Here is a 17,077-nt window from a genome sequence, read left to right on the forward strand (position 1 = left end):
GAGCTCCTGGCCTCAAGCGATCTTGCCTCAGCCTCCCAAAGCACTGGGACTACAGGCATGATCCACTGTGCTAAGTTTTAAAAACTGTAGAGATGGAGTCCTGCTGTGTTGCCCAGTCTGGTCTGGAACTCCCGCCTCAGCCAGCCACTGTTGGGATTACAGACATGGACCACTGCCTGACCCTCCTGGGGGTCTTAACAAGCCTTGCCTCCAGGCTGAGGAGCCCAAGGCGAGGCTGAAGCTGTGACTGAAGCAGCTGCGGTCACCCCTGTCACCTGGGCCGGGGGAGTCGACGCCCTGTGGCTTGGCCGGTGTTTGTGCTGTCATCTGTTCAGGCAGGATCACAGAGGGGCTCGTTCAGCCCTCACCCGTCACGGTCTGCTGCGGATGCTCTGCGGAGCACTTCGTGGTCCTCACATGGACATCCTGGCCTGGCTGATGGACAGGCCTGCTCCGGGCTACCTGGACTGCTTTCTCTCTCTCAGATGCTTCTAGTATTTTCCTGCTAATCATGGCTTTGGGGTTGAGGTAGAAATATTCTATCATGTTAGCCACTGAGCATTCTAGGATGTAAACGTTAGCAGGTGAACTGAGGAGAAAGCAACAACTTGAAAAATGACCTCAGGCACATGGGTGGTTTTTCCTCTCTCAGATTTGACCCGGGGGTGGCCCTAATCTGTGGTCCTGTGCAGCCAGCACCAGGGCAACAACTCCAGAGAGGCCTGGGAAACGGGGGCACTGTGGACTAGAGAGGGTTGGGGTTCCCATTTTTCTCTCTTTGCTGTCACTACTTTTCCTTAAGGGTGAGCCCTGTTTCCTTAAGGGTGGAAGCGTGAGACAGTGCAGGTGGCTAGAGCTCTGGGAGAAACCCATCTTTCTGGACAGAGAAACCAAGAAAAGGGACCCCAGAAGTGAGAAAATGCAAGGCAAATTCCAGCAAGGAGAGTGCTGGAGAAGCAGACCCCCAGATTCTCTACATGTGCTGACACACGTCCCTGCCCACCCCACCTGTGAGTGCAGGCAACGACCCAAAACAGCACAGCCAAGGCCAAGGGCTGACCTGGTGGTGGACCTGCTGCTCGTGGAAAGAGAGACAGAACCAGTGGTCAGAACCTAAACCAGGTTGCCTGCTGCTGAAACAAACACATGAAATGACACTTACAACGAGGGTGTTAACAACCCAGAGTCTAACCTAACATTCCACATGACGAGTGAGGATTCAACTTGCAGTTACTCAGCACACAACCAGGAAAATGCAAACAGAAAAGACGATTTCAGCCCCAAGATGCTCAAACGTTCAAATTATCCCAGAATTCACTGCAGTCCTAGTTATAACCATGCTTCATGAAGTAAAGGTGAACACTCTTGGAATGAGTGGAAAACCAGAAGTACCCAGCAGAGAAATAAAAAGGAACCTAATGGAAATTTTAAAACTTAATTACAGTATTTGAAATAAATTCACTGGGTGAGTTCAGTAGCAGAATTAAGACGACAGAGGAAAAAAAATCAGTGAACTTGAAGACGGAGCACCAGAAATAGCCAAATCTGAAGGACAGACAGAAAAAAGAATGAAGAAAGGTGAACAGAGCCTCAGGGACCAGTGGGAAAACATCAAGAGGTCTAACGTCTGAGTCACTGGAGTCACAGAAGGAGAGGAGAAAGATCAGTGCAAGAAAAGAAAACTGAAGAAATAATGGCAAAAAAAAAAAGTCCTCAAATTTGGTGAAAGACAAAAACTGCCCATCTAGGCTGTGGCAGGCCTACTAGGGAATGGACAAAAAGTTCCGGCACGTTCCACTGGCTGAGGGAGCATGGGACACGGACAGCTCAGCTGCACGTCCGTAAACCGTCCCTTCCACGGCCACCCTGGGCATGGGGAGGGGCGGGGGTGTTTGTGGAGAAAAACCAGCACCGCAGAAGTACAAATTCAAAAATCTTAATTTATTGTAGACTCTTCTCATTTGTAATTCCAGTGTTTTGAACATTAATAAATACACGTTCTGTTAAAAACCTCCAGTGTCTAATCTCTCCCATAAAGTCTTAAGTAATAAAAATAGGTTTACATTTTTCCCATCTCAATAAAACTGACAGTTGTTTTTTGGTAACAGTTCTGATCAAATTAAAAATTACACCTCGTGATGTTGGCTGTGGAGTACGTGGAAAAAAATAGAACAAAAAAATTACACCTCAGGGGGCAGAATCCTGTTAAAGTCATGAAAGGAGACTGTTCGAAGACTTAAAAACCTTTTCGTACTTAGGAAACGCCAGGGGCAAACGTTTAAAGGGACTAGAGTTTTTTATCTTCGAAAGACCACTCACCTGGTAAGGCACATGTATAATTCATTCAGGTGTGAGGACTCTGGGATCTCATTTCATCCTCCTGTCCTGGACCATTTTCAGATACGCTTTTCCTCTCCCATAGGCATCTGCTAACAGTGCTCACATTTTCATCAGGGTCAAGTTTAAAACAGTGTGGACATCTTTGCATTTTACTTGATTTTCATCCTATTTTATGGTTTCTCCTATTTGGAAGCAGCTGTGCTGATCACTTATTTGGGCACCTGATTTGAAGAACAAAGGAAACGCTAAAATCAAACATGTCTGACAGTTCCGGGACCCGTTCCACAGCCCCTCGGGCCACGCTGTGCCAGCTGCCTGCAGTGGGCCCGACCTTGGTGTGAATTTCCAAAAACAGTTTGGTAACCGTTGAAGAGTGTGGCTGTGGCTTTGTCCCTCTGCACAATTGGCCATTTGAAGCAAAATGAAGTAATTGGTCAGACTCCAGAGGGGAGAACCCTGCCTGGAGATCCTCGCAGTCTCAGAGAGTTAGAGAATTGGCAGGAGGTATGTAACGGCCTGGAAGGCCCCACACCTCTGTCCAAATCAGGAACCTGCAACGCTTTAAGGTCCCAGGTCCCACGGGGAGCAGGAGCAAAGGACAAAGCCATCCCCACCTGCAGCTCCCGGGCCACCTGGGAGGCGGTGAGGGGAGGGGGTGGTGGTCACAGAATGACCAGGTGAAAAATGACAGCCGTGTGGCAACCGTGCCCCACAGTGACCTCAGCAGGGCTCCTCACACCTGCCTAGTGCTGCACTGCCCTGTCTTGAATTCACACAGCCGGGGCAGATGGCAGCAGAGGACAAACGCACACACAGCGAACACTGGGGACCCAGGGGGCCGGCGGGGAGGGCCCACACCATCCTCACTTCCTGGCCGAAGGCAGCTGTAGGGCTTCTAGCCGCTTGGTTTTAGCCCCACTGCTGACGTATTTCCCACCTTTGATCTGCTGGGGCACCAGTTTCGTCAACACATGCCAGATTCAAGTACAACTGTGCAATCTTGACAGAGAAGACAGCAAGAGATCATTGCATGGATCTCTCGGGATAACAAAGTCAGCACGAATGCAATATATATACAGGTTGCACCTCCTCAGAGTCCCATACAAATATATAAAAGTATCTCCACCTTTCCCACATAGCGAAGTGATTTTAAGACAAGGGGTGCCTTTGCAAAGGACTGCCCGGGCTGCCAGCCACGGGTCCGCACTGCCATGAGATGCCCGCCTGGGCGGGGCTGGACCGCGGTCTTTGGTCTGTGCCCGGCGTTCCTGAACTCTGGCCAGCCTCTGGGCCCAGTCTGGGGTCCCCTCTCAGTTCTGGCTTTGACTGCAGTCTTAGGACTCAGCGGTGCTGGCCCAGTGGTCCACGCCTCCCTCATGCCTGTGGCCTTTGGCACTTGTCACCAGGTCTGACAGGCCCTGAGCTCCTGGGAGAACCAAGACCTTTGTGTCTGGATGATCAGTCGGGGGGCTGCCACCATGGGGACCGCCACACTCTGGGCCCACTCCACTTCAAGGGCAGTGGCCCCTTGGGCTCCAAGGTCTGAGGGTGATGCCGCAGCCTGTGTGGGGTGACGGGCTTGCCTCACGGTTTCCTGATGGTTCAAATTGAAGTTTCATTACTGATGGTTCAAATTGAAGTTTCATTACTGCCTCTGCGCGTGGGAAGAAGCCAGCAAGCAGGTGAAGGGTCAGTGAGGGTAGCGGCTTGGTGGGGCCCAAGGTTGTCACACGGGGGGGCAGGATCACCCCATCAGGGTAGAGGGGGCGTCTGGGGGCTCCAGGGAGGGCAAGCTCATGTTGGATGAGGCTGCCCTTGGGAGGCAGGAGAGGGGACCAGGACCAGCCTGTGGGCCTCTGTGTTGCTGGTCTTTCAGAAGAGCGCAAGGAATCCACGTTAGAAACCGGCCATCTCTACAGTGACTTTTGGAAGGGGCATTCTGAAGACCTGGCTTCTCCCTTGTGAGTTTGGAGGGAGGGAGGGGCGACAGGGAGAGGTCTGGGGCCAGGACCCCAGCTCCACCCCGCCCCCTTCACCCCTGGCATTCCGGGACCCTCAGTATCCTCAACTGCAAGGTGGGTGGCAGTGGTCCCAGGCGGAGACAATGCTGATCAAACGCAGAGCCCAGCACCTTAGGTCCTAGCATTTTGGGGCTGGCCAGGGCTTCAGAGTCCCAGAGGCCTGAGACGTGTCCCCAGGATAGGGGGTCTGCCCATCTCCGGGGTATCCTCCTGACCTCAGCTGCAGCGCCTCCCCCCTCCCCCATCCCCGCCTGGGCTTCCTCTGCACTCAGGGCTCCAGGTGAGGTGGGTGTCAGGTCCCTGACCACTGCCCCCTCTCTCTCCTGACTCAGGACAAGGGGGAAGTGGGTGATCCCCGCCCTGGAGGCCCAGGCTACTCACTCAGAGTCGGAGCCATCGGCCTGGGCGCTCCCAGTGCGCACATTCATGGCCACCCCGTTGAGGTGGTCACGCCCCGGCTCCCTCCCAGGGCTCTTGACTGTGATGGCGCAGTCGGGGCCGCCAGAGCCCAGGGAAGACGTGCGCGAGGATGTGGGGCTCTGCTCACAGTCGGCCAGCTTCTCCCGGAGCCGGCCCTTCAGCGTCTGCTCCGTCAGCGTCAGCGGCGGCGGGTAGGTGACTTTATTTTTCAAGATGCCTGGGAGGAGGAGACACGGCAAGGTCAAGTCCGGGTGATGCTGCCGGGGGCAGCTGCTGGGCCGTGTGCAGCTGAGCCAGCCTCAGCCCCTGTCCTTCCTCCTGGTTCCCCGGGTCCCAGGGCTAGGCCAGGAGGCCACGTCTGTTCTGCCCAGGCCCTGACTTGCCCCACCAGCCCCAGCCCCACTCCCACCTCCAGACCAGGGACTGGCCCTTCTGGGTCCTCCAGCCTTTCACTGCAGCCCCGGCCTCCCCAGGCACCTTTCCTCTGCTCTGGGGGCTGGCTGCTAGCAAGCCTGGCTGCGCCCCCGCTCTCCTGGTCCGGGGGGTACTCTCCACGGTGACTGCCCTGCTCCTCGCGGTGCAGCTCCACGCTGACCTTGGTCTCCACCTTCAGGCGGGGCTTGCCGCTGGGGTCCTCACTGTCACTCTCAGCCAGGCTCTGGTCGGGCCAGCCGGCCGGAACGTGGTTGGCCACAGCGTCCCCTGAGGCACGAGAGCGGTGCTCAGCAGGCAGCGGCACTGCCACTCGAGCTGCTCCCTTGAGAGCCATGGGTCTGGTGGCTCTGACCCACCTCTCCCCAACCTGCAGGCCTGGTAGGGCTGAACCCTAAAGGTGGGGAAACTGAGGCCCAGGAGGGCGAGTCCTGGCAGCAGGGCCCTTGTTGGGAGCCCCCGCCGCATCTGTACCAGTAACTATACAGGCTAATCCCCCACTGGCAGCCTCACCTGGACCTTGCGGTGACAGTCCACAGAGACCCCCCTGAGAGTTCCTGCCTCCGCTCAGGGGGTTGGCCTGGAGGAGCCCTCCAGAGGCTGTGGGGGAGCCCAACCAGAGTCCCCCCACCCCAGGCTGTCCTTTCATGTGGCTGCAGTGCTGCTGGGCATATCCTGGGAGGAAGGGACCCAGCCATAGCCAAGGCCTGCCCCGAGCCCGCTGTCCACAGCCCAGCCTGGCCCAATGTGCCCCACACACTCACCTTTGGGGGTGCTGTGGACGGCGCCCCTGGCCGGGTCCCATTTTTCCTCAGCTCCCACCCCATCGTCCTCGCTGTCTGACGAGTGTGAGGAGGCGTAAGAGCTGCTCTGCTCATCCAGGGACAGCTCGCTATCTGAGTCGGAATCGTGGCCTGTGGATGCGCGGGGGACAGGGAGGCTCAGGCCCTGGGAGGTGAGGGAGTCCCACCGAGGGCCAAGCAGAGCCACTGGGCCCCTGGCATGCTGACGCTGAGCATGGCGAGGCTGCTAGTGCTTCTTCAGGGGCAGTCTGTCCAGTGACCGAAGGGACGTGGGAAAAACAACCCACGGGGTCCTCCCCCTCCAGGGAAGCCATACCAGGGGGATCCTTGCAGCTCCTGGGCATGAGGGACGCGTCTGGCTCTCCGTGGCTGCCCCTCACCAGCCCAGAGGACACGCCGAGCTTCTGGATCCCTTCATCCCTAGAGAGGCCAGGGAGGGTGGGCTCAGTATCATCCGTCAGGGAACAGGAGGTGCTGGAAAGTTCTCTGGAAGATTCTCTGCCCCTACCCCTTCTGTGTTCCCAACAACAGCACAGACAAAACAGCCTCCCGAGTATGTGGGGGAAAGGTGGTGGGGGGAAAGGTTGGGTGGGGGGAAGGTGGTGGGTGGAAAGGTTGGGTGGGGGAAGGTGGTGGGGGGAAAGGTTGGGTGGGGGAAGGTGGTGGGGGGAAAGGCTGGGTGGGGGAAAGGTGGTGGGGGGAAAGGCTGGGGGGGAAGGTGGTGGGGGGAAAGGTTGGGGGGAAGGTGCTGGGGGAAAGGTTGGGGGGAAAGGTTGTCAGGGGAAAGGTGGAGGGGGAAGGTGGAGGGGGGAAGGCTGCGGGGGGAAGGTGCAGTGCGGGGAAGGTGCGGGGGGGAAGGTTGCACGGGAAAAGGTTGGTTGGGGGAAGTTGGTGGGGGAAAGGTTGTTGGGGGAAGGTGCAGGGGAAGGGAAGGTGCGAGGCGGGGAGGGAAGGTGCGGGGCAGGGAGGGAAGTTGCGGGTGGGAAGAAGGTGCGGGTGGAAAGTTGGGGGTGGAAGGTGATGTTGGTTGAATGGCAGGACACAGGTTGGGGTGGCAGGGGCAAAACCTGAGGGAGTTCGAGAGCCACCTCCCCGAACCCGGAGCTGCGGCCTGACCTGACGATGCTGTCCAGCGAGGCGGTGGACTCGCCCAAGTCTGTGCGCAGCATGTCAGGCCCGTCACCGAAGGTGGTGTTGCAGTTGAGGGAGCGCTGAAGGGAGGGGAGGGGCTGGTCACTGCCAAGTGGTGGCCACCACATGACCACCACGGGGAATGACTCTGTCCCCACGGCAAGCCCCCCACACCCACACCCTGGCTGGGCCCCTGCCTGGCACACAGGAGGAGCTGGCCCCAAGCAGTCAACCCTCACTGCAAACGAGAGCCTCCTGGCAGCTGAGGGAAGCACATCCTGGCCCGCGCTGTGGTCAGGGGCTGCCGCCCTCCCTACGGCCACTGCTTCTGGTCAGGATCCTCGGTGGTCCTGACCCTCTCTTTCTAAGGCCTGGAAGAGCAGGGTTAGGATGCGACCCAGGCCCCATCTGGCCGATTCTGTCACTTTCTGGTTCTGACGCGGCAGCCACACCGTGCACCGCGGGCGGCTCTGCCATCCCCACCGTGAGGGGCATACGGGCCGCAGGACTGGGGCTGAGGCTCGATCACCCTCCCCCGCCCCTCGAGATGCCGCCCAGCCCCCAGTCCCGCGGTGTCCCCGGCGCCTCCTACCGTCAGCAGGGTGGCCCTGGTGGTGGCGGAGTCCTCCAGGTGCAGCTTCCTCCCGCCGAGCACGCCCTTCAGGTGCTTCCGGACCTCCTGGTTGAGCACGCAGTGGAAAAGGAGGACGAAGGGGCCCTGGAGGGAGGAAGGTGGGGTCAGCACCTGCTGCTGCCTCCCTAGGCACCTGCCCTTAGGCGCCCCAGCACAGATGCGCATACAGCCTTGAGTGCACACAACATGTCCGGCCACACGGCCCAGGACACGGCCAGGCCTCCCCTCCTCAGGGACTGCTGCTATCTGGAGGCCAGGTGGGGGAGCTCAGAAACTGAGATGCCTGGGCCAGACCCCCGGTGTGCTGGAGGCAGTGAGGGCCCCGGCTCAGGCCAGTCTTCTGGGCACTCCTTCCACAGTCCTTGGGGCCCCTCTGGGGTCCCCACTGTGTCGTAAGTCCACTTGCTGTGTGGCCCTTGGTATGACTAGAAATGGCCACTTCTGTTCCCTGGAGACACAAGTGGACTTGTGCTGGCCTGGCACTAGGGTCATCGTCCCCAGACACAGTGGGGAGGAGGCACCAGCCCCCGTGCCGGCTGCACAAGGGACTGAGTCCTCACAGCCACAGGAGGCCCCCACGCGGGACCCAGGCAGGGCTGGTTTGGGACCGCAGAGGCCTCCACTGCTTCGCATCACAGCGATGGTGTCACGGCGGCCAGGCAGGGGTCCCGCGGGCAACTCGGCCGTCACCTACCTGTAAGCCGCTGAAGATGGCGAAGAGGTAGTGAAAGCTCAGTGCATCGCGGTTCACAGCCAGCAGCCCCAGCAGCCAGGTGGCGCTGATGAGCAGCAGCAGGAGGAATGCGGTCCTCAGCAGGGAGCTGCGGGAGGGCAGGATCAGGCCTGTGCCCATCGCCACCACCTGCTCCCTTCCTCCCTCCCTCTCTGCACGTCCACCTGTCCACCTGCCTGCCCGTCCGCCCATCTATCTGTCCGTCCACCTGTCCACCCAGCCATCATCCACCTTGCTCCCTTCCTCCCCTCGTAGCCAGGTACGGACTCATCCGGGAACCAGACAGAGCTCGTGTTAGTGGGGGTGGTGGTGGAATACATTAGGAAGCAAATGAGAAAACAGGAGCTGTGAGGACTACACCAGGCCAAGGGGCCTGAGCCATGCCCATGGCTGCACTAGCTCCCGTGAGATACCCTGTGGAGAGGCAAGAGGAAGAGCCCAGGACCTGCCCTTGAGCTGTGACCCTGCAATCAGCTTCCTGAGCTCTGCCTCAGTCTCCCCATGTGTACAAGGGGAAGACAAAGGCGCATCCCCTCCCAGGGTTCAGAGGGGATGGAGTGAATCCGGGTGACAGAGCCCGCAAGGTCCACAGGTCGTGGATGGCACTGAAGACGAGGAACTGACAAGGCCCCAGACCCCCCGTGCACCCCCATATCCGGCCTTCCAGGCCACTCACTGCCTCTCCCTCTCTGCCCTACCCCCCTTCAGACTCGGCTCTCTCCTCCCGGGCCGGGAGCCTCACACTCCTCCTGACACCCAGCCCCTGCGCAAGCATTATCCCTTCGCCCATCCCTGGCTCAGTCCCATCTCAGCTACCAGGTCACCAGGGGCTGGCCTTGTTGTCTGACAGATGCCCCCGTCAACCCCTCCTGACCCTGTCGTGGCTCCTGGACGCTGTGCTGAGTCCTCCCGCGGTGCCACCTGCTCCTTTGGGGCCTCGAAGGTCCCCTCTCCTCCCTAGAACACTGGAGGTTCCCTCTGTGCTGGGCCCCTGTTCCACTGCACCCTCTGACAGTGGGGTGGGGGGGTCTCCTCCCCTCCAGTGGCCTCAGCAACACCCTCACCACCCACCAGAAAGTTTCATCTCCCCCACCCCACCCATCTCCACTCTGGGGATTCCAGACAGCCCAATACTTCTGTGCCAGGCGGGAGGGACTGAGGCCCAGGACTGGCTGCCAGCCCCCTCCCTTCAGCTAACCTCCTCCAGCCCCCTCCCCTCAGCTAACCTCCCCCAGCCCCTGCAGGTGCAACGTGGCAAACCTCTCTGGAGCCCTGGGGCTCACCCAGGCTGCCCCCAGCCCTCCTCCATGAGGCCTACACGCTCTCATGGGGCCCCACCCCGCAGAGACTGGACGTCGGGGTCTCAGGGCCCAGCCGACATGGCTGGCCGGTCAGGTTCAGCCCCACTTACACGATCCCTTTTTTCCCATAATAATGGTGCTTTCTTTGGCAGGAAACCTTTGCAGATAGGACAGAAGTGACTGTGTTGATCTGAAAACAAAACAAGCCGATCAATGTCTTCTCTCTCGTCACTGCAGACCTCCAACTGCCAAAAGCGCCTGAGGCCCTTCGCCCTGTCAGGGAGGGGTGGCTGGGTGAGGAGGACCCGAACCCTGGCCTGTGGGGCGAAGCACACCTGTCCACCCACTGCCCCACAGCGCCCACCACACCCAGCCTGCCTGTGCGGGACCCTCCTGGGTGCTGGACGCAGATGGTCTCATGCGGACACGACGCGAGACCTGAATCCACGATCAGAGGGTGAGGTCCGGGAGGGCCCTGGCGGCTTTGCTGACTGTTACAAGGTGGCCCTTCCTGCCCCCCGTCGGCTGCTCAGAGGAGTTGGTGGCCCCAGCCAACCCAGAACAGCCCTTCCAGCTCATGCATGTTTGGGGCACCCGGACTCCCGTGAAGGCCCCACACTCACGATTATAACAGCTCCGATGGGCCCCGCAAAGCTCCAAATCAGGGTGTCTTGAAGCGACAGCCAGCAGAAGTCGGGGTTCCCGTAGCCCTGGGGGTCCAGGCCGACCGCCAGTCCTGAACACAGCGGGGAGGAAGGGAAGGGTGAGGGCCACGTGCCCAGTGGCCACCCCATGCCAAGGACCAGCCAGGGTGGGGTGAAATGGGGGACTCAGCATCTCCCTTCTCAGAGGAAGGAGCAAGGAGTCCAGGGAGCCAGCCCAGGGCCCCTCCAAGCACAGTCTCTCCGTGTAGGGTCTCAGGCTCACTGGCCCAGGTGGCAGGAGCTGCTCCTGGATTGGCCCCATGAGGCAGGGGGCGTATCTGGGCCGGGGGCTGCTGAGGAAGACCAGAGACCCTGGAGGGTGGCAGTGAGATGGTGCAGGAGGGATCGTGAAGGCAGACGGTGCTTGGGAGGACCCTGCCAGCTGGGCCATGTAGAGGTCAGGAGGCCATGATGGACCCAAGGTGCAAGGGATGAGGCTCCAAAACAGATGGAGGACGGCGTCACCTACAGGGCCATATGTGAGCGGGTGAGGAACGCATATACCCCCATACCACATCCAACCACGTGCACATGCCATACACATGTACATACCCTATACACATGCATGCAGACACACATACCGTGTGCAGACACGCATCACAGATATACACACACACCACAGAGGCACACACCATACACACGTGCACACCACACACACACCCCCGAAACTGCCTCACCACCGAGCCTGCTATACGAGCTGCTTGTTTAGATAGAGGAAGAAATGCTCTGAAGCACAGTTGTCACTCCCAGCCACAGTGTGACAAACCAGATCCGCCTGTCCATGCAGAGCATCAAGGTGACACTTGGGACAGGAGCAACCAGCAGGTGAGACCTGGTCTTTCTGTGCCCCTTGCCCCACCCTGGCCTAGGCTATGCTCCTCCCCACTCTCCTTATTTAAATATTGAAGAGATCCCAGCTCCCTCCTGTTTAACACCCTCCAGCACTTCCCACTGCCCTCTGGAGGAGCCAGTTAACCAGGACCACTGAGGACAGTCAGGGAAGCCCTGGATGGCCGGGGGAGGCAGCAGCCAGTGACCAGTGCCTGCAGCTCAGTCTGAGGCTCCCCGGGAGTTATTTTAAGATCTTGTACAAGACAGACCTAAGTGTTAAACAAAACAAACCGAAACCTGTTTTTAAAGCAAGTAGGAAACGTGAACTATCTGGATTTAGAGTCCAAAGGGCAGAGGCATCGCAGAGACCTGCTCCGCCTGGACATCGAGGTGGCTTTTCGACAAAGCCATACGAGCCCCTTTCTAGGCCATGTTCTTCATCTCAGCGTCTCTCACAGTAAGCACCTAATCTAGGCAAGGTATCGCCTCCCTGTCACATCAGGAAGTGGCGGCTGCCACCCCGCCCAACCTGCCCCCACCTCAGTGGCCCTGGGTGGAGGTGAAAAAGGTTCTTCAGGGTCCCTTAGAGTAAGGGAGATGAGTCACATCAGAACACCCTAGCCAGGAGCCTGCCTGGTTGGAGGCTGGTCAGTGACGTTGCTGTGGAGACCAGGACGGTCCAGCAAGTGACCATGGCACTGGCCCCAGGTGGCTGCTGGGTGCTGCCCTGGGAGCAACACCCCCCCACCCCAGTGCCTCTGGCCTCAGACTGCGTCTAATCCCCAGAACCCAGGGATTACCCAGGAAAAGGGGTTCTTCTTTTTGTGAATAAAGGTAGATTTTTCTCAGTAGGGAGCAAACCAACTTTCTGATTTTAAGCAAAATGTGTGCTGAGGAAGTACTGTTTGTTCTACTCACTGATTCACTAATTCATTCATCCACTCACTCATCCCATCCACCCACTGCACCCACCCATCCATTTACTCATTTCATTGTCATCCATTAGCTACCAATCCATCCACCCACCCATTTCATCCATCCATCCACCCACTCATCTCTCCATCCCTCCAACCATCCTATTCATATCCACTGACTTATCCCATCCATCCATCTACCCACCCATCCATCCACTCACTCACCTCTCCATCCGTCCATCCACCTATTCATCCACTCACATATCCCATCCATCCACCCACCCATCCATCCACTCACTCATCTCTCCATCCCTCCATCCATCCACCTATTCATCCACTCACTTATCCAATCCATCCATCCATCCATCCATCCACCCACCTCTCCATCCCTCCATCCACCCACCCACCCATCTGCTCACTCACTCAGCCCTTCATCCCTCCCATCCATCCACTCAACTCACTCCTCCATCCATCCAGCTACCCACTCATCCATCTATTCACCCATCTACTCACTCGTCTCTCCATCCCTATATCCATCTACCCACCCATCCACTAATCCCATCCCTCCATCCACCTACCCATCCATCTGCTCACTCACTCATTCCTCCATCCACCCATTCACCCCCATCCATCCATCATCTACCCACTCACTCACCCCTCACCCATCCATCTACTCACTCACCCCTCCAACCATCCATCTACTCACCCATCCATGCATCCACTCACTCACCCCTCCACCCATCCATCCATCCTCACTCAACCCCCATCCATCCATCCACTCGCTCCCCACCCATCCATCCATCCACTCACTCACCCCATCTATCCATCCACTCGCTCCCCACCCATCCATCCATCCACTCACTCACCCCATCTACCCATCCACTCACTCACCCCTCCACCCATCCATCCACTCATTCACCCCCATCCATCCATCCACTCACCCCCCATCCATCCAGCCACTCGCTTACCCCCCATCCATCCATCCACTCACCCCCCACCCACCCATTCATCCTCTCACTCACCCCTCCATCCATCCACCTGCACACTCATGCACTCACTCGCTCTTCCCTCCATCCCTCCCATGTGTAGACGTGGAACTTTTGTCTGTTAAGTGCTGCAGAAATAACCCTGAACAGACCTGGACCCAGCTCTCAATGAGCTCACACCTCACAGAAGACGTCGCCCCAGGTGTCTGCGAGTGCCCCTGTGCATGCACTCGCAGTGTGCAGGGCCGAGGCCTCCTCTGCTGGGGGCTGGACAAGCATTGGGGCTGGGCAGGGAAGAGAAAGGAGGGCAGCGTTCCTGCACAGCTGGGGTCTGTTGGAAATCTGTGGTTTTATGCAGGGCCACTCTGTGCATCCTCACCTGTGACAATGGCCGGGATGCCCCAGCCCACGACGTAGTAGAACCGCATGGGCCCCGTGTCGATGTTGCGCACCTCGGTCAGCATGCGGTAGACATGCAGGCTCTCCACGAGGGTCCAGGCAAAGGTGCTCATGTAGATGTAGTGGAGGAGGATGGCAACCACTGTGCACAGAAACTGCGCAGGGAGGGGCCGCTCAGCAAGGGCCCCTGCATCCCAGGCTGAGGTCAGACAGGCATGAGTGAGGGGTGGGGGATGGGAGAGCTCACAATTCGGACCACCCTATGTGTCTGTCCTCAGCTGAGCAGGGCTACATGTCTGGCCAATGGCTGAGAGCCAGGAATTGAAAATCAACATCCACGGAGCAGCTGAGCCAGCAGGTGAGCCAGCCCTGCCTGCCTGGACACAGAAAGCAGTGTGAGAATGACAGAGAGAGACTAGTCTCTGAGGCCATGAACACAAACCCAGTCCCACATGCCCCGGAACTGCACTTGAAGATGTGGCCCCAAGGCAGCTTCACACCCAGTGCTCTGGGCGGGGCGGGGGGGCAGCTTCACACCCAGTGCTCGGGGTTGGGGGGGCAGCTTCACACCCAGTGCTCTGGGGTGGGGGGGGCAGCTTCACGCCCAGCGCTCTGGGAGGGGCAGCTTCGTGCCCAGTGCTCTGGGAGAGGCTGCCCCAGCCAGTGCTCCCAAAGCTGCCGCCAGCTGGGAGAGGATGGCAGGCTCCCCTCTGGGTCCCGGGAGGCTGAACCAGCCAAATGGGAGAATGGGGAGATGGGGGAGAAGGGGGAGATGGGGGAGATGGGGGAGAAGGGGGAGATGGGGGAGATGGGGGAGATGGGAGCAATGGGAGCAATAGGAGCAATGGGAGGGTCCCACCACCCTGACCCCACCCCCAACCGGCCTGCTCTGGACACACTGTCTAATCCTCAGCAGCCATCCCATCAGTCCACCCTACCAGGGGGTCCCAGGGAGATACCCTTTAACAGACACAGAAGCGTAGGAGGAGAACGAGGGCCCCCGCCTCAACCCCAGGCTTAAGGCCACTTTGCTCAGGCACTGGGTCACGGCACCCTAAGGGTGCCCCTGCTGACACATCAGCCTCGAAGGGCCAGCCACCCTCCAGAAACAACGCCCCCGAGGTGGGGAGGGCCCCAAGTCAGCATCGCATCTGTCAGATACGGAACAGAGCAGGAACCGAAGCAGGGAACGCAGGCTCAAGTTATGCCAGAGACAGGCCCTTTGCCTCAGACTGTGGCCTCGGTCAGGAAAGGAGGCGCGAGCGTGTGGCTGGAGAACTCTACACCAAACACCCTGGTTTCCTGAGTGGAAATCACACTGGCTCAGGAAAAGGAAGGGGGTGAGAAGGTTGGTTGGCTGGATGGCTGCTTCAAGTAATGCGAAAAGTAAACCCACGAAACCACCTTTTGAAAACAAAGTGCGAGGGCTGTGCCATCCTGGCTGCAGCAGGGTCGTACCTGCTTCCCTAACCAATGTACCACCTTTTCCAGAAATAGAACAAAGACAAAAGCGGATGCATAATAAATCATTTCAGCCTGCCAGCGCTCTGAGAGATGAAAAACCTCGCCCAGAGATAGGATTGTGGGTTTACAAAAAAACCATAAAGCCCAGGCACTCTGCCAAGCCCCTAGAACGCTGCCGGGTCGCCCTTTCCTTCTCCATGCTCAGCCGTGCGTGGCTGCCGGGACAGCGCTCACTCCGGCAGGCGACGAGTCAGTGTGGGAACCCAGGGGCCGCCTCAGTTTCGCTGGGGTGTTGAGTTGCAGGGAGTGGCCTGCACCGACTCCCCTCTCCCCCATTCACGCCACTCAAAAGCACACTAGAGGGGTTTTGAGATGAAATCCGCACACTTCTCAGAGCCTTCCCAGACCAATGCGCGGATGAGAACGTGCCCATTGCGGGGATGCGCCCGGCTGCGGATGTGAAGAAACCCCTCCGCAGGAGCAGCGACCCTGCCATATGGGCCCCGCACACGGAGCCCCCGCCAGCCCGGGGCCTCGGCCTCGGGAAGCACCTGGGAGGCGGCGGGGAAGGTTGGCCCTGGCTGGTCTGACACACGCCTCGGGGCTCGTCCTTCATGGGCCAGGCCTGGTGCTCCACCTACCACTGCTGGGAAGCCATGGAGGCTTCTCAAGGGTGACCTGCGAGGTGGGGGTGCCTGCCTTCCCTCTTGAGGTAAGAGGGGTCTGGTCCCACCGCTTGCCGTAAAAAAGGAGGAGCAGCTCAGGTCTGCACGTGGCCCTGAGCAGCTCGCCGGAAGGTTCCAGCCTGGTCTTTTTATTCCGTTTCCCTTCCCAGGGCCGGTCCAGCCCCACAGACACCGTCTCCACCCACGAGTTGGAGGCGGCCTCCCTGGCTCATGCGCCACACCTTCCTTGGCCTCTGCAGGTGTCCCATCTCACCCAGACCCTGCCTCTCAATGGGTGGTACCTTCAACTACTCATTCTCCCTTCTGGAGACGTCAAACTCCCCTGACTCCTCCTTCCTGCCTGCTCCATAACCGGTTGGTCCTGTCCCTCCTTTCTCCCCGTGCCCAGTGCCCTGGCTTCAGTTCTGGGTCTCCACCCCACCTCCCAGGCCTGCGCATTATCAGACTGCTCTGATCTTCTGCCCGTCGTCCACCTGCTGCCAGGCTCTTTTTTTTTTTTTTTTTTTTTTGAGACAGGGTCTCACTCTATTGTCCAGGCCAGAGTGCAGTGGCACCATCTCAGCTCACTGCAACCTCTGCCTCCCGGGTTCAAGCGATTCTCATGTTTCAGCCTCCCAAGTAGCTGGGATTACAGGTGCGTACCACTATGCCCAGCTAATCTTTGTATTTTTAGTAAAGACAGGGTTTCACCATGTTGGCCAGGTTGGCCTCGAACTCCTTGACCTCAAGTGATCTGCCTGCCTCGGCCTCCTAAAGTGCTGGGATTACAGGCATGAACCAACGTGCCCAGCCTAATTGTTTCTCATAACGTGCCTGTAGACTATTTTAGATTTTTTCTATGAGATCCTTCATGTTACCTAATAATGACAGCTTTGTTTCTTCCTTTCTGATCTCTATGCTTTTGTTTTCCTTATTCATTGCACTGGCAAGGCCACCCTGCACCACAGTGGTGAACGTGAGTGGGTTCCTGATGTTACAGGGGATGCCTCCAGTATCTTCCCATTGTTATTTATTGCAACTGCAGGTTTTCTGTAGATGTCTTCATTAGATTAAAGTTTCCCCTAGTCCTAGTCTGTTCAAAGGTTTTTCTTTCTTTCTAATCATTAATGAGCATAACATTTATCAAAATTCTTTTGTACATTCATTTCTGAGAAAAATAATATTTTTCCCTTAAATGTACTGGTGAGGTAAATGGCATTCATAGATTTTTAAAATGTTAAACCATCCTTGCATTCCTAAGATAAACCCAACCTGGCCGTGGTTTTTATACTGCAATGC

At 58.1% G+C, this 17,077-nt stretch overlaps 1 protein-coding gene across 5 annotated transcripts in view, besides 3 other annotated features; it reads right to left on the reverse strand.

Annotated features, from left to right (window-relative positions):
* Window positions 1,921-17,077, reverse strand: part of CELSR1 (cadherin EGF LAG seven-pass G-type receptor 1) — a 176,447-nt gene continuing 161,290 nt past the window's right edge. For 3 of the 5 annotated variants that reach the window (NM_001378328.1, XM_011530555.3, XM_011530554.3), the window contains exons 25-35: window positions 13,630-13,804; window positions 10,439-10,551; window positions 9,926-10,005; window positions 8,476-8,602; window positions 7,740-7,865; window positions 7,133-7,227; window positions 6,333-6,436; window positions 5,978-6,127; window positions 5,259-5,483; window positions 4,743-4,998; window positions 1,921-3,994 (exon numbers count right to left, since the gene is read on the reverse strand). In NM_001378328.1, coding sequence (NP_001365257.1) covers window positions 3,970-3,994; window positions 4,743-4,998; window positions 5,259-5,483; window positions 5,978-6,127; window positions 6,333-6,436; window positions 7,133-7,227; window positions 7,740-7,865; window positions 8,476-8,602; window positions 9,926-10,005; window positions 10,439-10,551; window positions 13,630-13,804 — 1,476 coding nt within the window. In that variant the 3' untranslated portion in view covers window positions 1,921-3,969. Of the gene's footprint in view, window positions 4,999-5,258; window positions 5,484-5,977; window positions 6,128-6,332; window positions 6,437-7,132; window positions 7,228-7,739; window positions 7,866-8,475; window positions 8,603-9,925; window positions 10,006-10,438; window positions 10,552-13,629; window positions 13,805-17,077 lie in introns of all 5 variants that reach the window. The other 2 variants (NM_014246.4, XM_047441624.1) reach the window with 2 other exon arrangements.
* Window positions 2,569-3,070: an enhancer, noted in NCBI's record as "H3K4me1 hESC enhancer chr22:46757719-46758220 (GRCh37/hg19 assembly coordinates)". NCBI's record gives its function as "activates a minimal SCP1, AML or CMV promoter by ChIP-STARR-seq in primed H9 embryonic stem cells {active_cell/tissue: H9 hESC(primed)}" and the evidence as "EXISTENCE:reporter gene assay evidence [ECO:0000049][PMID:30033119]".
* Window positions 3,071-3,570: an enhancer, noted in NCBI's record as "H3K4me1 hESC enhancer chr22:46758221-46758720 (GRCh37/hg19 assembly coordinates)". NCBI's record gives its function as "activates a minimal SCP1, AML or CMV promoter by ChIP-STARR-seq in primed H9 embryonic stem cells {active_cell/tissue: H9 hESC(primed)}" and the evidence as "EXISTENCE:reporter gene assay evidence [ECO:0000049][PMID:30033119]".
* Window positions 8,653-8,712: an enhancer, noted in NCBI's record as "active region_19236". NCBI's record gives its function as "activates an Ori minimal core promoter by ATAC-STARR-seq in GM12878 lymphoblastoid cells {active_cell/tissue: GM12878}" and the evidence as "EXISTENCE:reporter gene assay evidence [ECO:0000049][PMID:35858748]".

This window comes from Homo sapiens, chromosome 22 (assembly GCF_000001405.40).
Source record: "Homo sapiens chromosome 22, GRCh38.p14 Primary Assembly".
Lineage (NCBI taxonomy): Eukaryota > Metazoa > Chordata > Mammalia > Primates > Hominidae > Homo > Homo sapiens.